General features: G+C 41.1%; 1 protein-coding gene across 40 annotated transcripts in view, besides 2 other annotated features; it reads left to right on the top strand.

Annotated features, from left to right (window-relative positions):
• BNC2 (basonuclin zinc finger protein 2) overlaps positions 1–25071 on the top strand; it is a 461168-nt gene that overhangs the window by 375741 nt on the left and 60356 nt on the right. The window lies entirely within an intron of this gene.
• Positions 8416–9067: an enhancer, noted in NCBI's record as "OCT4-NANOG-H3K27ac hESC enhancer chr9:16485861-16486512 (GRCh37/hg19 assembly coordinates)". NCBI's record gives its function as "activates a minimal SCP1, AML or CMV promoter by ChIP-STARR-seq in naive and primed H9 embryonic stem cells {active_cell/tissue: H9 hESC(naive and primed)}" and the evidence as "EXISTENCE:reporter gene assay evidence [ECO:0000049][PMID:30033119]".
• Positions 9068–9720: an enhancer, noted in NCBI's record as "NANOG-H3K27ac hESC enhancer chr9:16485208-16485860 (GRCh37/hg19 assembly coordinates)". NCBI's record gives its function as "activates a minimal SCP1, AML or CMV promoter by ChIP-STARR-seq in primed H9 embryonic stem cells {active_cell/tissue: H9 hESC(primed)}" and the evidence as "EXISTENCE:reporter gene assay evidence [ECO:0000049][PMID:30033119]".

Raw genomic sequence — 25071 nt, 5'->3', positions numbered from 1 at the left:
ATAGGTATACATGTGCCACGTTAGTTTGCTGCACCCATCAACTCATCATTTACATTAGGTATTTCTCCTAATGCTATCCCTCCCCCAGCCCTCCACCCCACAACAGGCCCTGCTGTGTGATGTTCCCCTCCCTGTGTCCATGTGTTCTCATGAAAATCCAAACTCTTCTACACGGCCTGCCAAATCTTGATCAAAACCCTACAGGACGTGCCAGGCCTACATGACGTGTCTCCTTTTCCCTTCATCTCTGACTGCATCTCCTCTCTCCCTCCTTCACTTGTTCAACTTTGGTCACACTGGCTTCTTCGCTGTTCCTTTTCCCTGAAAAATTTTGCCTTCACATCTCAGACCTTGACTCAGAACTCATCTCAATGACTCTTGCCCTGACTGCTGTATCTGAATTTTCAGCCTTTCCTCACCCACACCATTTCAGGTCCTCTTTCTCCACTTTGTCTTTTCTTCCTTAAAAATTATTTTCTGGCTGGGCTCGGTGGCTCATGCCTGTAATCTCAGCACTTTGGGAGGCCAAGGCAGGTGGATCATGAGTTCAAGAGATCGAGACCACCCCGGCCAACATGGTGAAACCCCATCTCTACTAAAAATATAAAAATTAGCTGGGCATGGTGGCACAGGCCTGTAATCCTAGCTACTCAGGAGGCTGAGACAGGAGAATCGCTTGAATCTGGGAGGTGTAGTTTGCAGTGAGCCGAGATTGTGTCACTGCACTCCAGCCTGGTGACAGAGCAAGACTCCGTCTCCAAAAAAAAGAAAAAGAAAATTATTTTCTAATATATTTCGTATTTTATTTAGTGTGTCTGTTTCTCTTCCACCAGGATTTAAGCTCCACCAGGGTAGGGGTTTGTCTGTTTTATTCAGTGTTGTATCTCCAGTGCCTAGGACAAAACCAAACATGCAGCATATGGTCAAGACCTATTAGTTGAGTGGAGGACTGAATGAACTTGGCCCCTGCCTGCCTCTCTACCCTCGTGTGTCATCAGACTTCTTCATGTCCTACATGCCCACATCTTTTCCATCTTTCTGCTCTCTCTAAACACGCCATGCTTTCCTCCACTCTCTGTGCCTTTCTACTTACTGCTGCATCTATTTAGATGGTTCATCTTCACCTGTTTGGCTCTTCAGGCATGGCTCAGAAGTCACCTCTGCTAGAAGGACTGCCTTAGCCCCCTGCTGTGCAAGTAGAGTACCCTTTCCCAGCATGGGAGCAACCTGAATGCCTTACTTTTATCCTTTTGCCTAGCTCTTCCATTAAACCACATAAGCTCCTTGAGGGTCTTATTTGGATTTGTAGTCTCAGTCTGCACATAGCACAGTATAGGCATGTCTTAAATGTTTATTAACTGGAGAAAGGAGGGACAGAGGCCAGCATAGAACTGGAAGATTATTTCAGGATTTCATCCATCCTTAGTCTACCTAGTCTACCTACCATGTTGCCACGTTTATTACAGTAGGTGCTCAAGACAGCTCTGAATGAATGAGTTGTTTGTTCCCTCTTACACATACCCACCCCTAATTAAAAATTCAAATCATTTTTGTATCAATATTGTACTTTGAAAAGATCTTCTGAATTGATGGCTTCTAACTTCAGGTTGTTGGCCAGATCTGGATGTGGTCAGATAAGGTAGATGTAACTGTTTCCTGAGTCTAAAACCTATCAGGATGCACTGGTTGGGAAATGGATAGAGCACCTTAGTGTATTTTCTGAGAAACACAGATCAGTGGTTTTGCTTACCTGTGTGTTGATAATGAGTGCTTTTTCTGCGTGCGTACTTTATTTCTTCGAAATAGGACTTACGTGAAAACAAAGTGGCTTAATCATTCAATTACAGTTTCCTCTATGAAATTTTTCAATAAAAATGAAATAAAGCAGGGGAGCTCTAAGTCTGTTTCATACTCTGCAGTATGGATGATCACCAGGAAACATTTTCTTAATGGCATCATAATATTCTGAATGTTATTTATACTAATGATCACGAATTTCATCTTAGTGATGCCTGTAAAAAACTTAACCTACATGTTAAGTTGACTTAAGACACAACGTTTCAGACTACCCAGACTGAAGACACACCATTTCAGATTACCCATAAAGATTTTAGCAGCAGTGTTCTGTGACTGATTTGTAATGATGCTTACTACTCATCATTAATTGAGTAGACTTGATGGATAGCTATACAGAAAAAAAAAAAAAAATGGGCAGGCCTTTACCACCCTCGAAGGATGGAGCTTTTGGTATTTATTCGATGCATAACCTGTATTCCTAAAAGACAAGAAATACATCATATGATTTCTCAGTGGACCATACATCACAGCAGGAACACCTTTACAACCTGCCAGGTAAACACATATTAAAGTTAATTCTCAGAGGCTTTTGTTGCTTTAAAGAAATCATATGCAGTAGAAAATTCCTCCTGTTTTCACAACCAGGACCAACAGCCAGTTAATCAGTTGAAGTGGTGAATCTTTACCAAAACAAACAAACTACATGTTTTAAGCATTTTTAGCTGAAAATATAGAAATGTGCATTTTGAGATTAGCCAAGGCCTTTACTTAAGTATGGATGGTTGTGCTCATTAAAGTTCTGACTTCTTACATATACCACAACTGTGATGTATCACCAAGATTTTCACCTCTTGCTGCTTTAAAGTGAACCTGGAACTTAGACATGAATAGGTTGAGTGTAGAATCATCCAATCCTCCAATATTTTGCATTTGTCTTGCCCACACCATGTGAAAGCAGGATTGTTTTTGTTTTTTTTTTAAGGGTGGGGAAAAAAAAGAAAAAAACATTGTCAGGACTCCCTAAAGCATTCAACTTAATTTTGATAGAATGAACTTTTTATTTTACAATCGTATTTCACTGGTTTTTATAATATTTCATTAAATGATAAAATCGTATTTGTAGATGAAACGGTTATAATCAGGTCTGAGAAAAAATAACTGATCCTTGACTAAATTGATTTGTAAAAGCGGAAGTATGTGAGCATACCAGAGTGTAGTTTATTAGTTTTGTTTATTTAGCATGCTATGGACATCAATATATTTTAAAGAAGAAAAACGATTTTGATTAATCTGGTAGCGTAAGCATACATGTAGTAGTAACTTTTTCTTTGTTGGTGTTTCTGTATAACTTAAAAAGAGATGAAACTAAACTGCAGTGAAATAACCCTTAGAGACTGGTAATCCACCCCTAATGAGCGAGTGCACATGTGAACAAGGTATGATGCATATCTTCAGCTGCTCACTTGACTTTTTCAGTTGGATAAATTTCCATCCTCTTTCATTGTAATATGGCCCAAACTAAATTCACTGTTTTCTTAAGCCTTCCTCCCATTTCCCAGGCTCTCTTAGAATTACTGCCATTTCCCCAGCTATCAAGGTATCCAATATAGCTAGAAAAAAATTATTTTGAAGGAATACTGCGTGTGCTGTAGGAGTTTTATGTGTGTTTTTTAAAATTATTTTGACCCTTACCTCTGATCCTCTTAAGTTTTGTCATTACCAGATCTTGTCATTTCTGAGAAATGCATGTTCCTCTTCATTTGAGTGGCCTCCCCAGCATGAGACCCTTTCCACCTGTTGAGTATATCACTGCAGTGGAAGGATCTTACTTGATTAGCAGCATTGCCTCCAGCCATTTGTATCCTTAAAGCTGTGGCAAGATCCTTTTTTCACAAATCCCATTCTCAGCAGTTCACTCTCCATTCAAGATTCTCAGTGGCTTTTCACTGACTGCAACATGTAATGTAAAAATATTTGTCTTTGCTCTCGGTGCCTTGCTTAACATAGATCCATCCTCATTTCAGGTATCAGTCTCTATTCTTTTATGCCCTGTGGGAACCCACCACAATCACGTTGTCTGTCTGCGTCTCTGTCCTCCAGACTTGTGCTCCGCCTCCACACCTCTGCTCATATGGAGCCATGTGGTCTGTAGGATCTTAGGTCTTATATGCCACTGATTCATGTCCTAAAAGTCCTTATTCAATTCTGCTTGACTCTCTTCCAAGGAACACTCCTCCGCAAACCTTTGAGCACCTAGAGATTAGGGACTGCTCATTCTGACATGAAACCAGCTGCACTGCATTTTATTGTTATGTAGTTGTGTTTATCTCCTCAACTCCAAATGAACCCCTTTGAAAGTTGGGACTCTTCTCTTAAATGTTTCTCTTTTTGTAGCTTCTCTTCTTCAGGGAGTGTAGAATACTTTCAACCCAGCACAACTGTATGAAAGACCTGATTGAGGAAACATAAGAATCACTAGGCCAGGGTCCCTTCCCTCTAGGTGCTCACAGTCTAATGGAAAACAGATGTGTCCTTAAACACACACATACACACACCCACACAGATACATAGACGTCTGATATGAAGTGAGAAAACTCTAAAATTTCTACTAATAAAGGTGTGTATTAGATGAAAGTTTGGAGGAAGGTGAGTGATACGGTTTGGCTGTGTCCCCACCTAAATCTCAACTTGAATTGTATCTCCCAGAATTCCCACGTGTTGTGGGAGGGACCCAGGGGGAGGTAATTGAATCATGGGGGCTGGTCGTTCCCTTGCTCTTCTCTTGATGGTGAATAAGTCTCTCCAGATCTGATGGGTTTATCAGGGGTTTCCGCTTTTGCTTCTTCCTCATTTTCTCTTGCGGCTGCCATGTTAGAAGTGCCTCTCACCTCCCACCATGATTCTGAGGCCTCCCCAGCCATGTGGAACTGTAAGTCCAATTAAACCTTTTTTTCTTCACAGTCTCTGGTATGTCTTTATCAGCAGCATGAAAATGGACTAATACAGTGAGCTTTCACTCTAACAATGGGGAGAAAGGTCTTTGATTTGGAGGGGTTCCTACTTGAATTGTATTAAATTAGACATTTGCATTTGAGCATTATTGGAAGAATAGAAAGATCCGTGTATTGTTTTCTTGCAGAAAAATTTTTTGAGGGAAGGAGAAACAGTATTGTTAAGTAAGAAGTAAGGAACTTAATAACTTGATCAAGTTCTTGTAACTAATCAGTGGCAGATACACGAGGGCTCTTGTTCTACTGCCGGTAGTTTTGAGTAGTAAGTTCTGCTGCCTCCTCAAGTTTTGTTAACATTCTTTTGAGTCACCTGAACATATGTATGAAATTTTTAGAGGGTAAGAAACTTTTTAGCCCCCGTTATGTAACACTCAAATCACTCAGGAGTGTTTCCTTTTCAGAGTACTTCAAACCTGCCATGGAGTTAGCCTTTGGGAAGGAGAAAGGCAGGTAACATAAAATATCAACTGAGAGGCTTTGAAGATGGGTGATGTGTTTTTTCTCCTTAGGATGTTAAATCACATATCACCACATGTGTGCATGGAAATGAAAAATGTCAGCAACACATTTATGTAAACCATGGATCATATTTGCATATACATTTCAACTCAGCCTTCCTACCCTGAGACCAGCAATGATTGATGCTTTGTATTTTGTCTTTTTAAAGATTTCTCTAGTCCTAGGATTTTGCTGCATGTTAAAACTCTTATCTCAATGAAAGGTAAATTAGATAATAAACTATAAACCTATGCTGTCTAGCACAGTAGCCACTAGCCACATGTGTCTATTTAAATGTAAATTAAATTAAAAATTGATTTCCTTAGTTGCATAGCCACATTTCAAGTATTCCATACCAAATTGAGATGTGCAGTAAAGGTAAAATACCAGATTTTAAAGATGTATTACAAAAACCAAATTTAAAATACTGACAAATTTTTGTATTGGTAATATGTTGAACTGACAATATTTTGGATTGTTTTATTAAGTAAGACACATTATTAAAAGTTTTGCCTCTTTTACTTTTTTATAATTGTTACTTAGAAGCTTAAAATTACTACTGTGGATCACATATTTCTGTTTGACAACACTGACTTAGAAAGTTCATATTTTAATTTTTAATTCTATTGTCTTAGTGTATAGGTTTATACTGAATGAGCTTACTAGGCATTTTGGAAAGCAGAGTGATTAGCAATGACTGAAACATAATATAGATGATTTAATGATTCCTACCATTTTTTGCCTGTAATTTTTACTGGGTCTACTAATCAGTTTTTTGGGTTTTTTTTTGCTAAAAGAAGCCTTTATCCTTGTTCAGGCCATCACCTTTTAAGACTGTTTTGGTTTTGATCTTGTTTAGCCTTTAATCTTTGCTCCTTGATTGGCTAGTGACAGGCAAACTGAATGATCGGGATTAAGATTCAAATATTTCATGAATGCTTTCACTACAGCATTCCTTTTTATAGGAAGTTACAGTCAATACAGTATATAAGGCAGTACTTAATCTGTCATATTTGCAGGCTAAGCCCTGAATTAGATATTTTAGTGCATGAAAAGATCTCCAGACTAAACGCATTCATTTGCTAATTAGAAAAAAATTTGTTTCCCACTAAAACATTTTACTCAGTAGTGTTTATGTAGAAATACTGTGAATATTCCTACAAAGTTGCTTAATTTATTTCTGTGAGTTCCAACTAGGTTCAGTATAATTTTTCCATTAGTGTAAGTATAGGCCTGCTAGTGTTACGTAAACCCTATTTAGCTGTTAGTACTGTTGTCACCACTCTGATTACTTAAAGAGGTCTCTAGAGCAGAAAACAGACTTCCTAACTTATGAGTTGTTAATATTTTATTTTTTATGTTATTTGGAATATCAAGATATAGTACGTTGGGGAGAAAAATCCTTTGTGAATTTGATAGAAAATTGGAAACCCAAGAAAAAGGCCATTGTTAAGGTTTTTGGCTAATCTCACCGAAATTGTCTGTAGTAACCCACACTGCCATATAAGGCGAGGGGAAACGGTGCCTTTTTGCATGCTATGGGGAATATGTAGCTTAGTAGTACAAAGATAAAGCAAAGAGCTCCAAAGATGCGGCCAAAAATAGTCGTATTGGGGTTTTTGCTGAATTGAATTGTACTGATGGCTGAATATTTTCCGGGATTGAGCCCTCTCTTCTAAACTTAAATCTTGTCCTGTTTCACCATCTATGGTAAAATATCCATGGAAACAAAGTGGCTTCCTCATGGGTTGCTTACTGATCCTGCATTAGGAAAGACCACACAGACATTCGAGGAAGAGAAAGAATATTTCATATGGCTGCTTTCCTTGTTAAGGGGGACCCAGAGAAATGTTTATTTCTGAATAGCTTACCTTCATTCCAAGAAATCGGCTTTTGGGCTTACATAGCAGTGGACATGTTACTGGAATCTTAAGAGTGACAAGAAATTATTGTTTCTGAAGATAGCTTGTCACTTTTTTCTCATAGGACTTGGCTGGGGTTCAGTGCTCTCTTTGGTCTTATTTGAATGGTATTTTATAAGTCAGACAAAATAATATTCAACTATTAATATTGTTCTGCTAAAACAGTTTAGAATAAAGATTTAATGTTCTCTTTTCAGTGAAGAGCTTGTGCCCACTGTGCAGTACTGTAATAAAAGAGAAACAAATGAGGCAGCTCAAAGTTATGGCTCTCCGTGGCTTTTAGGTCTCTCATACATTTTTATAAAACATATATCAGAACTTCTGAATTGTTAAATTGGGTTATTTTTTAAGTGCAGTTGTATTCAAATAAGGACCCGAGAGTAACACTCCATGTCCTGTTAGGTGTCAGCGTTCAGAACTGCCCGCCCCCTCCACCCCCAGCCGACAGACTTACTGCTGTTATTACATCCTCTGGTCTGTAGCTAGGAGAGGACGTTTGACCCCCTCAAGACTGTGCTTCTAGTTGTTCTTCAAGTAAACTGACTCAGCCCCAGGCTTACTGTCTTGCCTTTAGGCAAACAGGTAACTTGAGTTACACATCTCTTTTCTCATCTGTAAAAGGGGAATATAGAAAGTGTCACTTCTGGATTCCCAGTGGATTTAAAAGGCAAAAATGAGATTAACGATGTCTATGGCCAAGCATGGTGGCTCACAACTGTAATTTTGGTACTTTTTGAGGCCAAGATGGGAGGACTGCATGATCCGAGAGACCAGCCTGGGCAACATAGCGAGACGTTATCTCTATAAAAAAAATTAGGCATGGTGTCATGTGCCTGTAGTCCCAGCTCCTCAGGAGGCTGAGGCAGGAGGATCGCTTGAGCCCAGGAGTTTGATGTTACAGTCAGCTGTGATCCCACCACTGCACTCCATCCTGGGCACCAGAGTGAGACCCTGTCTCTACCAAAAAAAAAAATTGTCTGTGAATCTCCCAAATTGCTACAGTTTAATAATTTGCATCCCTATAGAAACCCAGGAGAACTTTAAAGAACAGAAAGTAAACTTTAGTGCAAATATTTGAGAGCCTAATGTGTCATTAAATGTTTCTGAGGAATATATGTTTGCTGAAAAGCTGAAAATTAGGGTTAGTGTAAGCATCACTCATAATAATCTCATGAAGAGAATCTTGCAGATGACATTGCCCAAGCATAGTACTGGGAGGATAATAAAAGGTGTGCGCATTTATTTGGGTGTCAGAAGATTAAGTACAGGGTGTGCTTCAGTATTAATTCTTCCTGCCCCAACCTAAACATTTAACCAAATAAAGAAGGAACATCAAGTCCCACAGAACTAGGAATGATACTACTATTCTGATTTCAAGAAGTATAATTACTGTCCTAACACTTAGAAATGACCAGAATTTAATACCCAGGTCTTCATTTTCCTCTGACTTCATTTTCCTCTGGCTGAAACAGGAGTGACAGAGGCCAGGATCATCAGAGGCAGATGGATCCCTATGGCAGGTTGTTTTGACTCTTCTAAGTTCTTTGCATTAAAACAACATTCCTCAAACACATTAGCCTCCCAGCACGGGGGTGGAAACAACAAAGCAGGAAGCCTGCTGGAGCCTTGGGGAAATCTTGAGTGCTTTGGGGTGATTTATTTTCAGAGGATTCGAACTAAGATCAGCTCAAGAGAAGATGGGAACATTCAGGATGGTGGGAAAGCAAAGTAACTGACTCCCTCCTTTTCCTCTCTGTAAATGGTCTCCTGGAAAGCCATCACAAGTAAATGTTTTATTCCACATAAATTTGTACCCTTGGGGGTACAAATGGGGGATTGAGAAGGGTTGTGGACTGCCTGGAACATGCTTTTTTCTTTTTCTCTTTTCTTTTTGAGACAGGGTCTCACTCTGTTGCCCAGGCTAGAGTGCAGTGGTGTGGTAACAGCTCACTACAGTCTCGCCCTCGTGGGCTCAAGCAGTCCTCCCACGCAGCTGGAACTACAGGCATGCACCACCACGCTTCTCTGTTTTTAAAAATCTTTTTGTAGAGACAGGGTCTCACTATGTTGCTCAGGCTAGAATGTGCTTTTTAATTTTAATTTTTTGGTAAGCCCTAGCCACATGAAATGAGCCCAGTGGGGTGGAGGACCGGCCCTGACAGAGCCTATATGATCCCTTGACTGGGTTAATGCAAAGTTGGGTCTCTTATTAAATTAAGCAGAAATTCCAGAAGGCTTGTGGCTGGGTGATGGATTTGGCCTCTAAAACCAGAATGACCCACAAAACAGGTTTTTGAGTAACAGATGCTTAATGAACATCCCTGACCCAACTTTACAAAAATGCAAACTGGGCTACAAGAGACTTAATCAGAGCAGGATGAAAGCCCAAGTTAGTGGGAGATGAGTGGAAGTCTCATGTACCCAACTGTGAAAGGGCTTCTTTTTCCAATTCAGAACAATTGTATTAGATGGTTATGAGGAACGATCATTTAGATGGAAGCTGAACTCCCTTTCGTTCACTCAGTGAAAACTAAATTGTTGGGCAGGTTCAGAGAAAAAAAATAGAAATAGTGTGTGTGTGTGTGTGTGTCTGTGTGTGTCTCTGTGTGTGTGTGTGTAATTTCTCTGGAAGCACAGGAATGATGTGTTCTTCTTTGTTAAGGGCATTATGAAACCACGGCAGTCCTCTTCTTGTACAGTGGTTGTAATTATAACCACAGGGATATTGTGTTCTCAAACAAACATTCAAGCTCCCTGATACCAGGTTGCCTGAAGCCAAGCTTCACATATGGATGTGTAAAACAATGCCTATTAGTAATCTCCCCCATCACTTGTCATTGGTCTTCCCCTCTGACAGTGGAAATGTCTTTATAGTCTGTGCCTGGCATATTGCTTTTGTTCATCTTAGGTTCATTATGTCTGTTTTAAACAATGAGAACATATAGGTCGTGGCACAGTGAAATGTAGCACCTGAAACTTAAGAGCTTGATCGGGTATATACATAAAGGCTGTCCTTCAGAAATTTCTTCATGATGCTGTTGCATGCCATTGGAACAGTTGGAAAAAGGAAAATTAGAACCACTTGCATGCCAGCCAGCTCTGTTTTTAACGCATGATTATTTTATTGGGGTGTACATTAATTAATCCCGAAATAAGATCCTGTGTGACATTCAGAGTTGTTTTGAGTAGCTCAGAGTTTAAATATTTTAGTTTTACAACTCTGTTATGCTGGCAGCCAACAATGGTGTCTCAGTGAAGTCAGCATATGAGCCCTGCTTGTGATGACATCTGGAAAGCTTGTTTTATCTATAAGCACAGTTGTAGACAAATGAAAGCAGACAGATGTAAGGCTGGGGTGGCATCTTCGCCTCGAGCACTCTCTGGCTGTACATTTTCCAGTGTGTCAAAAACAAGGAGCTTTATTTCGGGGGTGGAATAAAAACATTCTGTCACATCCCTACACCAGCTACTGTGCTGCCTTTTTTGAGCTATAAGGTGTAAAACGGCCTAGACTGTTCAAAATTTAACAAGAGACAGAGTTAATAAGTAAACAGGAGAAAGTCAGTAGTCAGATAGAGGTGCCTGAGTTTGGAGGGGACATGACACCACGTCAAAAGCCTTGGGGTCATTTTAAGAAGTTAATCACAACCACTTTCTCCTGGGAGAGCCAGAAAGAATAAAAGAGTTGGCAGGGGATTTGGAGTTCTGGGTAGATTTTTCTTTTGCCATTACCTTTATCAGCCAGGATTTATTAAGTACCCATGGCGTATAGAAAAGTCTACAAAGTAGTTTGGGTGAGTGGAGCAAAGAAAAGCTTTAGGACAGGGTCATGCTTGAAGATGAGTACTTAGAAGCCTGAAAGTCCGTGACATCTTCCATGGGTGGCTCTCAAGTCCTTTTGCTCAGGGACCATTCCTTAGGAAATCTTATACAAGGGCAGCTTGCCTTTTATCCCACTCCCTTTTTGCTGCTGTAGAAATAAGTATCCCTGAAAATAATCTCCACATATGCGTGTGAATTTGCTTGGATTTGAGTTAAAGCAGATGCTTTTCAAAGTTCTTGATCCTGCAATAGCAATAGAATTAGCTATGTGGGGTATGAAATTAATATTTTCATCTCTGGAGATTTATGGCTTCCTCCTATTTCATGGCATATACTGTGTATACCACTCTGTATACCATGTAATCATTGCTAATTATTGCTAAATAAGTTTTACCAAAATTTTGGGAAACCTGGACATGGTCTTGTTTAGCATCTGCTTAAGGACTGGATTGCCCACCTGCAGCCAAAACCACATAGCTTTATAGTATTTGAATCTTGTGTCTTGAAGAAACCATGCAGATACATGTAATTTGAGAGCAATGAAATAATGGAAATGAAAGGAAGGGAATAGTATGTAAGGAAATGAAATATGGTCAGTTGCTTGTATCAGGACAGAAGCCTCTTGGTTTCAGCAGTGTCTTTTTCAGTGGCCAAGGTGGTAGAGAATATACTTTTCATTTTAGCAATCAAGTTACATTATGGTATAAACAGGGGAAAACCGAGTTTTTCATTTCCCGTCTCATTCCCATCACACCATCATTAATCCTTTCAGAGTGCATGGTGTTAAGATCCACTGAGCCCTGGTAAGTGCCTTTGTGTATACAAAATGGCACTTTTTGTTTTACATGCTGTTGGATGTGGTGGAGAAAATACATGTGTAATCGAAAATGGACAGCAAATTGCCATTTGTACCTGCAAAGACTAAATGGTCCAGAAAGATGGATAGTTGGGGTGTTAGTCACACATGAGTAGACTGATGGGCTGGCCACGGAAAGCCCCGGACCTTTGCATGACTTTTCACTTAGAGCCATCTGAGGGGTTCAGTGACTCCGTGGCTGTTCTCTGAGACCCCAGTCTGGTCCAGAGAGTCCTGGAGTCTGAAGTTTGTGATGATACAGAGGTTGATTCCTCTGAGTTTATTCATTTAAATTAGAAACACAGAGGGAAGGGAATCTTTTCTTGTGATCCCAGTTATTCCTGATAGAGAAGAAGTAGCAGATTTTCTAAATTATCTGCCGGCTGTGGGGTTGGAAAGTAAGTAAGATTATATGTCTCATCATCCTTCTATGAGTATGTAGAAACGAGAGTCTTAGAATCAGTGTCTGCAATCACCTTCATCGGTGCTAGCTTACAATTTAAACTGTCAAAATAGACTTTATTTCCTTCTTTTGTTGTTCAATATAAGAAGAGGGTTTTTTTTTTCTGCCTATTAGTTTGAGTTTCTATAGATGACTATTTATAGCATTTTTTTAAAGGTTTCCCAACACTATTGGGTTGACACAATGGGATATAATAGCCAACAGGGACCTTGCACTGATACCAATTTGATTTATTTATAAATTAAATTATTCTGCTAAATCTGCTGTAGTACTATTTAGTCATTTTGATTTAATCAGAAGTATCCTTTATGATGCAATCTGCTGGAAGACTGTGTTTGGCCAAGATTAAACTTATTCTTTTGAAAACATTAAAACACAATTATGGATCTATAATTTCCCCTGTGGTATCAGTGAACATTAGTTATTATTGACATATATTGGTCTTCTATTATTACTAATATTTTTATTACTGACAACAGTTTTTAGTATTTAGCATGTGCCACATATAGTGCTAAGGTTTTTATATGTGTTTGTAGCTAACATTTATTGAGTACTTATTTTATTACACATACTTTGGAGCTCAGATTATCCAGTATAATTCACATAATGATCCCGTGAAGTTGGTACTAAGATTATAGTATTACCCTCATTTTGTCAACAAGGATGTAGGTTCAGAGAAATTAATTATCTTGTCTAAGATCACACATATTCTTTGCATATTGGACTGTATGTGTTTGTGTATAGGCATTAATTTCATTCTCAGTGTAGATCTGTACTTTCTTTTCCAAATATATTATAACCACACTGTACCTTGTACATGTAATTTTTACTCAGAAACTAACAACTTGTTGGCTTTAAAAAATACTCATTGAAATTGAACATTGCTTCAGTTTCTGAAATGAAAATAACCAGTTCCTAAGTTAGCAGTGATATCAGCGATGGTGTGTCCGGAATTGGTGGGTCCTTGGTCTCACTGACTTCAAGAATGAAGTCGCGGACCCTCGCGGTGAATGTTACAGCTCTTAAGGTGGCGTGTCTGGAGTTCTTTCTGATGTTCGGATGTGTTTGGAGTTTCTTCCTTCTAGTGGGCTCGTGGTCTCGCTGGCTTCAGGAGTGAAGTTGCAGACCTTCGTGGTGAGTGTTACAGCTCATAAAAGCAGTGTGGACCCAAAGAGTGAGCAGTAGCAAGATTTATTGCAAGGAGCGAAAGAACAAAGCTTCCACGATGTGGAAGGGGACCCGAGCGGGTTGCCACTGCTGGCTCGGGCAGCCTGCTTTTATTCTCTTATGTGGCCCCACCCACATCCTGCTGATTGGTAGAGCCGAGTAGTCTGTTTTGACAGGGCGCTGATTGGTGCGTTTACAATCCCTGAGCTAGACACAAAGGTTCTCCACCTCCCCATCAGATTAGTTAGATACAGAGTATGGACACAAAGGTTCTCCAAGGCCCCACCAGAGCCCAAACCCTGAGCTAGACACAGGGTGCTGATTGGTGCGTTTACAAACCTTGAGCTAGATACAGAGTGCCAACTGGTGTATTTACAATCCCTGAGCTAGACATAAAGGTTCTTCACTTCCCTACCAGACTCAGGAGCCCAGCTGGCTTCACCCAGTGGATCCCGCACCAGGCTGCAGGTGGAGCTGCCTGCCAGTCCCGTGCCATGTGCTCGCACTCCTCAGCCCTTGGGTGGTCGATGGGACTGGGCGCCGTGGAGCAGGGGGTGGCACTTGTCGGGGAGGCTCAGGCCGCACAGGAGCCCATGGAGGGGGTGGGAGGCTCAGGCATGGCGGACTGCAGGTCCCGAGCCCTGCCCCGCCGGAAGGCAGCTAGGGCCCGGTGAGAAATCAAGTACAGCGCCAGTGGGCTGGCACTGCTGGGGGACCCAGTACACCCTCCGCAGCCGCTGGCCCGGGTGCTAAACCCCTCATTGCCCGGTCCAGCAGGGCCGGCCTGCTGCTCCAAGTGTGGGGCCCGCCAAGCCCACGCCCACCCGGAACTCCAGCTGGCCCGCAAGCGCCGCCTGCAGCCCCGGTTCCTGCTCCCGCCTCTCCCTCCACACCTCCCTGCAAGCCGAGGGAGCCGGCTCTGGCCTTGGCCAGCCCAGAAAGGGGCTCCCACAGTGCAGCGGTGGGCTGAAGGGCTCCTCAAGTGCCGCCAAAGTGGGAGCCCAGGCAGAGGAGGCGCCGAGAGTGAGCGAGGGCTGTGAGGACTGCCAGCACGCTGTCACCTCTCAATGGGATGGTAATGATTTAACAGATTGGGTTTTCATCAGGCAGAGGGTTGTTTTTGTTTGCTAGAGAGGCTGTGCAGTGTACTGAGAAGCCGAAAAGTGTGCAGTGCTAGGTTGCCAGAGTTTGAATCCCATTTCTGCCACTTGTGAGGTCTTTGACTCTTTATGCCCCATGTTTCTTATTTTTAAAATGGAGATGATAATATTAAAAGTACCTATTTAATGGAGATGTTACATGTATCGAATGATGTTACCTGTGTTGAATGTTGTTACATGTGTTGAATGAACTTAGAATGGTACTTGCCACATAGTAAATACTGAATATTATAATAGCTGCTATACTTATTTTATGATAATAACTTTAGCTGATTCATGGGGGACCACAAGTAGCTTGCAAATAATTTTAAAGATTTTAGAAACATTTGGAAACTGTCAAAGGTAAGTATTCTTCCAAAGGTTAAGCTGTTACAGATAACATTTTAGTATCTTTGTGCCGAGCTATTAAAATAAACATAAATAATCTAACAAATATTTTACCCAACGTGCATAAAGAAAGAAGTCAGATCTTAAATGCAAGCAAAATTATATTAGCCTAACTTAAGCACTTGAAATGTTTATTTCTGTACTTTAAAAATGAGTGCTGACCCAGTGATATCAGGAACTTTCCCCCCAAAATTGTAAATTATAGGACTGTTATGCTGATCAATGATACATAAAAAAGACTCTTACAAGCAAATGTAATAAAATGTTAATTGTAGAATTTAGATGGTAGATACATAAGTGCTCACTGTACAATTCATTCGACTTTTCTGTGTATTTGAAAATTTTAATAATAAAATATTGAAGAGGAAGGCTCTTATACCTCCCTATCACTGAAGGGAAAATGAACCTTTTTGAAACTTGAAAACTTTTGCTAGGTGCTGTATTCTTTGGCATGAGAGATAGCAGTTGAAGTGGTCTGAAACACACACATGAACACACCCTCTGAAATCCCATTTTAGTCAAAGTTGGGGATAAATTTCCAACCACCAATTTTTTCTTTTCTTTTTCTTTTTCTTTTCTTTTCTTTTTTTTTTTTTTGAGACAGAGTCTCGTTCTGTCGCCCAGGCTGGAGTACAGTGGCGCAGTGGGCTCACTGCAGCCTCCGCCTCCCAGATTCAAGCAGTTCTCCTGCCTCAGACTCCCGAGTAGCTGGGATTACAGGTGTGCGCCAACGCGCCTGGCTAATTTTTATTTTTTTGGTAGAGACAGGGTTTCACCATGTTGACCAGGCTGGTCTCGAACTCCTGATCTCAGGTTATCTGCCCACTTCGGCCTTCCAAAGTGCTGGGATTACAGGCGTGAGCCACCGTGCCCAGCCCCAACCACCAAGTTTTTCTTTTTTGGAGTCCTCTTGGTTTTTGTGAATTGAAGTCCCATTTGCTTATTGGTCATCTGTTTAATATCAGGGTCATGCTTCTTTTCTTTAGTCCGAGCGGGAAGAGCTTTGAGAGATGAGAATGCAGGGAGCCACAAAATAGTTACTTCAATTTAGAGGTACTCTTACACACTGACATTCCTTTTTGACCTAGAAGAGTTTGCCAGCAGCTGTATGGTTAATATGGAGTTCACATTTTCTGAAGCTAATAAGCATCTGTACATTCTGTGATCTACACTTACAACATCTAATGGTCCTTTCCTCTTATAATTTGTGGTAAAAGATGTTTTTAAGCTGAATATTCTGTTACACTAACACTGTTCATTGAAGAATAAGATCAGAAATTAGGTTATAGATTACATCTAAAAAAAGGCAGTATTTTATAACCATGTGGAAGAAATATTAAGCTGAAAATGTTTGTATTTTGTGTCATTTATGTCATATGCCTTTTTAAGAAAAAGTGTCTTTGCTCATTAACAACAGAATTACGGTGGTATTATCTCCTTCTTCACAGATCACTTCTGGGATCTTGCTTTTAATTCTGGGTACCACTGTGTATGAGGAGCATTGAGCAATTGAAATGTGATCACCACTCATGACCAGGGTGGTGAAGGGTCTGCAGACTGACCACGGGGAAGCCATTGACAGTGTTTGGCCTGGAGAAAAGCCTGCCAGAATGGAGTCCTCCTCCCCATCTGTAAGGGCTTCCACGTGGACCAGGAAGCATATTGCTTTTGTTAATATCTCAGAGGACCGAAATTTATACGAAGGCAGATTTCAGCCCAGTGGAAGGAAAGACATAGAACAGTTCGAGCCATGAAACAATGAAATGAACTACCTCAGACTGTGATGAGCCAGATACAGCTGGGTTTTTTTTCCTGCCTGACTACTCCTGTCATCTGTTTGCAGGATATGGAAAGATGCAGGGGCCCGCTCAAGTCTTTTTCTAAGGAGAAATTTTAGTTCCTAAGCACCTAAAAAAAGACATGCTGAGAAGTTCAAATTGGGGGCCAGGTACCCCCACCGGAGGAGACTATCCCCTTTGTTCTATGAGTTGCTTCTAAAGTAGGAGCCAAAGGAAGTTTCCCTCCAGGCCTACTCTGAGGATGCCTGTCCTTTTGAAAGCATTCAAGAAAAAACACCTCTTGATTCAGGATCATGATACAAAGAAATAGAGATATCAAATTTTTGATAAAAAAGAAAATTCTATAATGTTAAAACTGAAATGAAATATAATTATATATGTTTCCCCATGAATATTTTTAAACTTTTTTTAGGGTTATAAGGAAATAGTCTAGATATATTAAATGTCTAAATGAAGTTCTTAGCTTTTCAGCAAGAAGAAATAGCTAAAAATTTAAAGTCAGGAAGCTTACAAAACAGATCCAAGAGAGTAAGAGACAAATAACTAATTCTTTTTGAAAAAATGTTTAAGTTTGCCATTAATAAATGATTGTCTAAGTGAGACAGCTTTGGCTGTTGCTTAGACATTTTAAAATCTTGATTTGTTAAGAAAATCAAGGACTTTTTTTTTTTAATCTCCTTGTCACATTGTTATCAAGGAAAGATTTTCTTTAAAAGCCAATACTAGACCCTAAAGGTAATCAAAGAGTATTCCGAAGCTGCATGATAGTTTTAAAATTTTCTCTTTTTAAAGGCAGTGTGTTGCTCTGTCACCCACGCTGGAGGGCAGTGGAGTGACCATTGCTCACTTGGGAACCTCCAGCTCCTGGCCTCAAGTGATCCTCCTGCCTCGGTTTCCCAAAGTGCTGGGATTACAGACCCAAATGATACTTTGGCTGTTCTTCAGGGAGAGGTCTTTTTCTCTCTTGCTCCTTTTCTTCCTGTCCTCTCCTTTTCTACCCTGATGGAGCAACATGGTGGTTTGGGACACTTGTATTTAAGTTCTCATTGAATATCGGGGTTCCTCTTGAAGGCTCTTCTGGATCCTACATTACTTCTGACACCCTCCCTGCTAATGTTCTTTCCCTACCACAGACACATGTAAAACCCACAAATTGGACAATTTTTGTACATTTCAAACCCCTTGCATCATTATGCTTTTTTCAAAAATACGATTTCAGGAATGATCACCTTGTAATATTAAATAGCTGTAGAAAATGACAGAAATTTGGCATGTATAGGAAGACCATTGGATCACAGTAGATTAACTCAGCATTCAGTCATTTGACATGTATTTTTTGGGTGCCTACTATGTGCCAAAGCTGAGAGGTTCTAGAAGTTAAAATGGTGAGCTAGATAAACCCGTGGTCCCTGCTTTCTTGGAGCTTACAGACTAGGGGGAGGGGACAGTGTCAAACTGCCAGAGTTTTTTTTTTTTTTTAAAAAAAACAACACACACACACGGGTTAAAAAGCAAGTTATCTAGAGTACTTCTGGAATCACTTCCTTGACAAAGTGAGCTTTGAGCAGAGGTCTGAAGGATGAGTTGCAATTAATGAGGAAAATGGTGATGATGAGGGGTGAGATACTTGGAGAAGCATGGCCTGCTGAAAGAACTGGCCACGGCGACCTAAAGGGAGCACCTCAGGTGTGTACAGGAGAAACTCCAGGGCGGTGTGGGAGCCTAGGTTTAGATACGCATTCCCCCTCTTTGCTCTGCTGCTGTTTTTAATACTTCTTCCAGAACTTCCCTAGGATTATCTTCCACAGGGGAGTAGATACTGTTTTTATTGTAATGAATCATCATCCTCTATTATTGCAAGTGATGAAGGCTTCTAGTAGCAGTGGAACTAGGAATGGCGTCAGTGGCTCAGCTCTTGATGGCAGATCTTTAGGGGGAAACCCTTTCAGTTTTAATGGTGGATAAAGCAAAACTCCTCGTTCTCATCAGTTTCCCCTCTAGGCTGTCCTGGGTAGGGAGTTGATAGGAGATCTTTTGGACACGGGAATTGCTTCACTGTTGACAGAAAGACATGGTGCATTTGATTAAATTAAATTAGGAGCATGTGTATGCTTGACAAAGTGAGCTAATGAAGGAAAATGCATCAAAAGGATTTATGGTGAATTGATTAAAATTTTTCTTTCCAGAAAACCCTTCCAGCTTAAAGCTTGGAATTGTAAGGCTATCGGTGCTGCTAGGCCCTCTAGGTTCTCACTTGCCTTTACAGTAGGCAGTTTGGAGACTTTTCTTTGAGCAGCTGCTCCTTCTGTAGCATACTCTGTTGCAGGCAAAAGTATTCCCAACCTGCAATCTGAATTGTATGGAGGAAAGGGGATAAAAGACACTGTTTGATTTATTAATTTCTAGTGGATTAGAACTACAAATGTTTGCTATGTTTTTAATTTGAGAAGTAGAGAGAATCACAGCAGCTTTTAATTATGCATTTTGTGTAATGCAGCTCTGAATAGAGCAGAACAAAATTAAAATTGTGGATCAAATACCGAATCTGAGTGGATGCTTAAGTGAGCTGTAGCGTAATGCTAATGGTTTTGCGTCTTCCTGGCATTATGTCAATAATGGCTGTAATCACATTAAGTAGAGAGCCCATTAGCTTTTTCTTTGCAGCAGCATGCACCATAGCAACATAGTGTGAGTTTCTAAAATAACTTTTGACATTGTTTTAAAAAACATAGCCATGTTTAGGGTAAGAGGCAAGTATATATAATGTGTACAGGTGAACACAGATGTGTTCACAAGGCTATGTTATATGTACAGTAAGATCATCTATTATATAGGCACATTAACCCCTGCTAACATTATGGCTTGGAAAAATCTAACCCAGTGTCCTTATCTTCATGAATTTAATAGATTCTCTGCTATTTTCACGAGAGTAAAGCCTTCCTGGAGTTCACCATGGTGTAAAGTCAGACCTACTTTCTGAATAGTGTTGTACCTAGAGTGTGGAAAAGCCTTTTAATATTTCCCTCCTTTGCTGCAATCTCATATGGCATGGCATTTCCAGCTGTCCAGGTCTATGTAGTTCTTTCTGTGTTGAAGCTGGAACACAGAAGTCTGATTGAAGTTCTTTTGCTTTAATGCCATTTTCAGTACCTTTTGATAGAGAGCTCCCAAGATGAGCCCACCATGTGGTGTTCATCATGGGTTTTTTTAATGACTGGGAGATTAGAATTACTATGGTATGTGAATATTCCTTCTACAAATAACTCAGTTTTGGGATATTCTCTGAGTAGTTAAACATTCTACCAATTTGATTTTTTTTCAACGAAAGCTTCAAGTGCAATTAAAACACTTTGCGTTTTTCTATTACACTATATGAAGATAAACTAGGAGTCAGTAAGGCAATTTTCAAAACAAAGTGTTGCAGAGATACTTTATTCTCAGTATGTGTATTAATAACTTGACTCATCTTTCTCATCAAACCTTCTCCCCACCAGCACATACCTGGAGGACATCCAGGGTGCAATATTGAGGGTTCATCTCCCATGCTCTCCTCTTTGTCACCTCCTCTATTCAATTACAAAACAAAAGAAAGAAAAATGGTGCTGCCTCAGCCATCTAAGTAAATACCATTGCCTCAGCCTTCTAAATAGCCCTTGAACACTTTTCTCCCTTCATTCAGGTCCTCATTGTCTCTTGCCTATTTTCACATCTAATGTTCCCAAGTGTTCTTCTTTCTGCTGTTTCATGAAATAATTTTTAAAAAACAACATATAGTGATTTGTATGTGGAGTTAATTTATTTTTTCCTGGGAGATATTCTTTTCAATTAGGATGTATAATCCTAACTTTTATTCAGTATGCAAGGATAAGTGACTTAATTTTTACAGCTGATCACTGTGCATTCTGTTAGTGCAGTTAAAAATTACAGTTCTCTCAGAACTTTAAAGCAAATGCTACATCAGTCAAGATTGGGTGTCTTTGTTTATCTTTGGTATCAAAGACCCAGAGAATTTGGAGAAACATCACACAGCTTGAAAAGTTATTTAGACAAGCTATAATATCACATGACTGCCCCCTGAGTGGTAAGACATTGCCCAGTGGATCTGAAAACACTTTTAAGTACTTAATCATCATCGTATCTTTTTTAAATTTTTTATTTCTTATTTATTTATTTTTGAGACAGAGTCTCGCTGTGTTGCCCAGGCTGGAGTGCAGTGGCACAATCTCGGCTCACTGCAACCTCCGCCTCCTGGGTTCGAGTGATTCTCCTGCCTCAGCCTCCCAAGTAGCTGGGACTACAGGAGTACACCACCACACCCGGCTAATTTTTGTAATTTTAGTAGAGACAGAGTTTCACCATATTGGTCAGGCTGGTCTCGAACTCCTAACCTCAGGTGATCCACCTGCCTCAGCCTCCCAAAGTGCTGGGATTACGCATGAGCCACCACGCCCGGTCCCATCATCGTATCTTCATGAGATAGTCAGGAATGGAATTTGAATACTTTAAATTGGAACATGGAGAGGTGAGGTGACTGTCTAAGGTTGCTTTGACAGTGGTGGAGCTGGGATCAACACTTTTATTTTTATATTTTAAAATATACTTCCTCTTAGCCTTTTAATTCAGAAAAGTTAACTTTAGTTTCTTAAAGGAATTCATAAGTGCTACCTCATATCCCTGTATAGCAGTCTTACCTTTACAGAGCACTTTCCGGTTTGTTTCTTGTTAGAACCCCACAAGGGAAAAAAGTAGGATCCCCTTCTGAAGATGAGAAATTTGAAGGATGGTCGGTTGTTAAAGAATCTGAATTCTTCTGACTCTTCGTCCATGGCATTCCACTGTATAATGCTAATTAAAATAGTTTCTTCTCTTCTGCAGAGATGTAAGGTTCCACTGTGACAAGTGCCATTTTGTCTGCCCACACACTAGGAACACCTCAATAGGGAAAGAAGTAAGAGCCACCTGATTTGCTCTTCTTGTATCATGCTTAGCTCCAAAGTAGTCTCCCAGATGTGTGTCCTTTTCCACTGTTGTCTCCTGTCTGTCTAGATGTGCCTTGGGACTCTGCCATAGTATCCACATACAGCTGCTGCCTCTCTGTGGATGACCCATGTCCATTTCCCATGCTTCCACCTTCCTTCTGTACCAGTTACACATTTTCAAATGTCCACTGACTTCTGATGCCTGTTGGCACGATCCACAAATCCATATCAACATAACTAAAACTTAATTTTTTATATTTCACCCCTTTCATTAAGTAGCTGTTTCTCATAACTTCCAACATTAACCTTTCATTTACTATTCATTGAGCCTCCAATGGCTGAATTTTCTGGTGCATCTCTTGGCATTTCTAAAGTTCCATAAAGCAGCACTTGCCTCTAAGAGATGTAAAAAGAAGAAGGATTATAAGAAGTGGACCATTCTTGGATTTTAGAAGTTTCACTATGTTTGAAGGCTAAGAGGCTGGTTTAGGACTGAGTGAATAGGCGAGCCAGTCTGGAAGGAGTTGGAAGGTAACTAAGCCATGTGACCTCTTCTGAATTTTTATCCTAAAAGAGTGCACAGCCTGTAGAGGAGAGTAGGTATATATAAGAACCTAGGTGAAGGTAAAGCTACCAGAACATGTTTTGAAGGCTTAGATCTCAGTTTTTCCTAATTTCCATCATTCTCACTGACAAATGCAGGGCAGCACCTCATGTAAGCTTACTACCAGCTTTTCTATTTACCCCTGCAACTCTGTCTCACACTGACCCTTTCTCCCCTCTTTCTCCTAGGAAGTGAGAGGGGAAGGAGAAGTAAGATGAGAAAGCAGTGAGGTTATATACCTGTACTGTCCAGACTCCTTTCCCTTTGTGTTACTACAGGACAATATAGTGCTTGTGAGGCCTTTGGAATATATCCTTACAGATCTTAAGAAAATCATGTATTAGTTCGTTTTCATGCTGTTGATAAAGACATAACTGAAACTGGGAACAAAAAGAGGTTTAATTGGACTTACAGTTCCACATGACTGGGAAGGCCTCAGAATCATGGTGGAAGGTGAAAGGCACTTCTTACATGGCAGAGGCAAGAGAAAAAATGAGGAAGAAGCAAAAGCAGAAAGCCCTGATAAACCCATCAGATCTTGTGAGACTTATTCACTATTGCAAGAATAGCACGGCAAAGACCCGCCCCCATGATTCAGTTACCTCCCCCTCGGTGCCTCCTACAACATGTGGGAATTCTGGGAGATACAGCTCAAGTTGAGATTTTGGTGGGGACACAGCCAAACCATATCATTCTGCACCTGGCCCCTCCAAATCTTATGTCCTCACATTTCAAAACCAGTCATGCCTTCCCAGCAGTCCCCCAAAGTCTTAACTCATTTCAGCATTAACCCAAAAGTCCACAGTCCAAAGTCTCATCTGAGACAAGGCTAAAGTCCCTTCCGCCTACAGGCCTGTAAAATCAAAAGCAAGCAGCTGGGTGCAGTGGCTCACGCCTGTAATCCTGGCACTTTGGGTGGCCAAGGCGGGCGGATCACGAGGTCAGGAGTTTGAGACCAGCCTGGCCAACATAGTGAAACCCTGTCTCTACTAAAACTACAAAAATCAGCTGGGCATGGTGGTGCATGCCTGTAGTCCCAGCTACTTGGGAGGCTGAGTCAGGAGAATCGCTTGAATCCGGGAGGCGGGGGTTGCAGTGAGCCAAGATCGTGCCACTGCACTCCAGCCTGGGCAACAGAGTGAGACTCTATCTTAAAAAAAAAAAAAAAAAAATCAAAAGCAAGCTAGTTACTTCCCAGATACAATGGAGGTATAGGTATTGGGTAAATACAGCCATTCCAAATGGGAGAAATTGGCCAAAACAGAGGGGTTACAGGGTTCATGCAAGTCTGAAATCCAGCAGGGCAGTCAAATTTTAAAGCTGCAAAATGATCTCCTTTGACTCCAGGTCTCACATCCACATCACGCTGATGTAAGAGGTGGGTTCCCATGGTCTTGGGCAGCTCCGCCCTTGTGGCTTTGCAGGGGACAACCTCCCTCCCAGCTGCTTTCATGGGCTGGCATTGAGTGTCTGTGTCTTTTCCAGGTGCATAGTACAAGTTGTCGGTGGATTTACCATTCTCGGGTCTAAAGGTCGGTGGCCCTCTTCTCACAGCTCCACGAAGCAGTGCCCTAGCAGGGACTCTGTGTGGGGTCTCCTTCCCTATGTTTCCCTTTTGCACTGCTGCAGCAGAGGTTCTCCATGAGGGCCCCGCCCCTGCAGCAAACTTTTGCCAGGGCATCCAGGTGTTTCCATACATCTTCTGAAATCTAGGCGGAGGTTCCGAAACTTCGATTCTTGACTTCTGTGCATCTGCGCACAGAACGCCATGTAGAAGCTGCTAAGGCTTGGGGCTTCCACCCTCTGAAGCCACAGCCCAAGCTGTATGTTGGCCCCTTTCAGCCACAGCTAGAGCGGCTGGGATACAGGGCACCAAGTTCCTAGGCTGCACACAGCATGGGGACCCTGGGCTCAGCCCATGAAACCACCTTTGCCTTCTGGGCCTCTGGGCCTGTGATGGGAGGGGCTGACAGGAAGTTCTCTGACATGGCATGGAGACATTTTCCCCATGTTCTTGGGGATTAACATTAGGCTCCTTGCTGCTTATGCAAATTTCTGCATCTGGCTTGAAGTTCTCCCCAGAAAATGGGGTTTTCTTTTCTATCACATAGTCAGCCTGCAAATTTTTTAAACTTTTGTGCTCTGCTTCCCTTATAAAACTGAATGCCGGCTGGGCATGGTGGCTCATGCCTGTAATCCAAGCACTTTCGGAGGCCGAGGTGGGCGGATCATGAGGTCAGGAGATTGAGACCATCCTGGCTAACATGATGAAACCCCATCTATACTAAAAATATAAAAAATTAGCTGGGCGTGGTGGTGGGCGCCTGTAGTCCCAGCTACTCAGGAGGCTGAGGCAGGAGAATGGCATGAACCCGGGAGGCAGAGCTTGCAGTGAGCCAAGATCATGCCACTGCACTCCAGCCTGGGCAACAGAGCGGGACTCCATCTCAAAAAAAAAAAAAAAAAAAAAAAGAATGCCATTAGCAGCATGCAAGTGTTGAGTGCTTTGCTGCTTAGAAATTTCTTCTGCCAGATAACCCTAAATCATCTCTCTCAAGTTCAAAGTTCCACAGATCTCTAGAGCAGGGGCAAAATGCTGCCAGTCT

The sequence above is a fragment of the Homo sapiens genome, chromosome 9, assembly GCF_000001405.40.
Source record: "Homo sapiens chromosome 9, GRCh38.p14 Primary Assembly".
In the NCBI taxonomy this organism is placed as follows: Eukaryota; Metazoa; Chordata; class Mammalia; order Primates; family Hominidae; genus Homo; species Homo sapiens.
The sequence above is the reverse complement of the archived record's forward strand: the minus strand, read 5'-3'. Positions and strand labels throughout refer to the sequence as shown.